The 1741-nt window shown below is 37.3% G+C and overlaps 1 annotated feature.

The window, feature by feature from the left end:
- Nucleotides 521-600: a silencer, noted in NCBI's record as "silent region_7891". NCBI's record gives its function as "represses an Ori minimal core promoter by ATAC-STARR-seq in GM12878 lymphoblastoid cells {active_cell/tissue: GM12878}" and the evidence as "EXISTENCE:reporter gene assay evidence [ECO:0000049][PMID:35858748]".

Consider the following 1741-nt stretch of genomic DNA (forward strand, 5'->3'; position numbering starts at 1 on the left):
AGGCCCAAGGGAATGGATGCTTGTGAAGTGCAGTCAGGCAACTCTGGGGGGCTGTGAATAAGAGGGGTATTACGTTAAGCTCCTGGAGGGTGGGGTTGCCATCCACCGCTGCCCTAGGTGGGCTGCTTATCCTTGGTTCTCAGGTCCCTGCCTGAGGTTACTACCAACACCGCACTCTCTCAGCCAGCAAAGGGTTTTTGGTTTGGAGAACAAAGTCTATGGTTATCATATCCATGTATATGCCTATTTTTGGTTTTGTATTTATTTTAGTATTATTTAAAATGCAGTTCCTTATCTCGAGGAGCTCATGTTGCAGAAGAGTCTAGACAACAGGAGGGAATCCCACCAAGGGCAGTGTTGAAAGATTTCAGTGGGTTCCACAGTTTCCTCTCTTCTCATACGAGCCTTTGTCTTTTGCACCAAACACTCATGCGTGAGAGAGAAAAGGAGATGAGGGAGCCAGGCTCTGAGTACCTTCCCTGACGTGAGGTGTGAAGACAGTTCTGCCACTTCCTGTGTGACTTTGGCAAGGCACTGAAACACTCAGCCACTTACCTCGTCTATGACTCAGGGTTGTAAGAAATGGTCAGTAAATCACCAGGTGTCGTGGCTGTGGTAGATGCTGTAGAAATGGTTCATGACAGTGACTGTTCTCACCATTGCCCCAATTGCATTCAATCTTTCCAGACTGTTCTTCAGTAAAAGCTGATGACTCATCCTTCCCAGAACCAAACAACCTATTCTTTCAGTGGGGGAGGTTTTCAATTATGATTGCCATTTTTTTTAAAAATCAGATGTCCTTTCAGAGTTTCTATTTCTTCTTGTGTCAGTTCTGGTAATTTGTGTCTTTTAAATCTCAGAAGATTTAAACCTTAAATGATTTAAATCTTTTGAATTTATTGACATGTTTTATAGTGAATGATCTAAGTACATTTGAAAAAAAAAGTATGTGTTCTGGGTGGGTGGGAGCATCCTATTAATGCCAACTAGGTCATGTTGGTTGATATGTTGTGTTTGTCTTTTGCATCCTTGCTGATTTTCTGTCTACACATTCTGTTGCTGAGAGAGGAGTATTGAACGCCCTAGAAATTTGTCCATTCCCTCTACTGTCAAGTTTATTGGCATAAAGTTGTTCAGAATATTCCCTAATTCTCCTTTTAATACCTACAGGGTCTGTGGCAATGTGTTATCTTTCATTCCTGTTACTGGTCATTTATATTCTGTCTCTCTAGTAATCTAGGAGTTTATCAATTTTATCAATATTTTCAATGACCTAACTTGTGAATTTCTTGACTTTTCTCTATGGTTTGTTCATTTTCTATTTCGTTGATTTTTGCTGTTTAATACATCCTTTTTGAGCTTAATTTGTTCTTTTTCTAGATTTTCAAAGTGGAAGTTTAGATCATTTGTTTTCAACCTTTAGTCTGCTAACACAAGCATTTAAAGCTATAAATTCAACTTTAAGCACTGCTTTGGTTAGAGCACCAAATTTTGATATGTCATGTTTTCATTTTTATTAGTCCAAAATATTTTCTAATTTCCTTTGTGATTTCTTGTTTTACCCATATGTTATTTAGAAGTTTATTGTTTAATTTCCAAATATTTAAGGACATTTTACAGATATCTTAATGTAATTAATTTCTAACTTTATAGTGAGAGAACATATCTTATATGATTTCAATCTTTTCATTTGTTGACATGTTTTATGGTGAATGATCTATGTGCATTTGAAAAAAAAGTT

Source organism: Homo sapiens, chromosome 16 (genome assembly GCF_000001405.40).
Source record: "Homo sapiens chromosome 16, GRCh38.p14 Primary Assembly".
In the NCBI taxonomy this organism is placed as follows: Eukaryota; Metazoa; Chordata; class Mammalia; order Primates; family Hominidae; genus Homo; species Homo sapiens.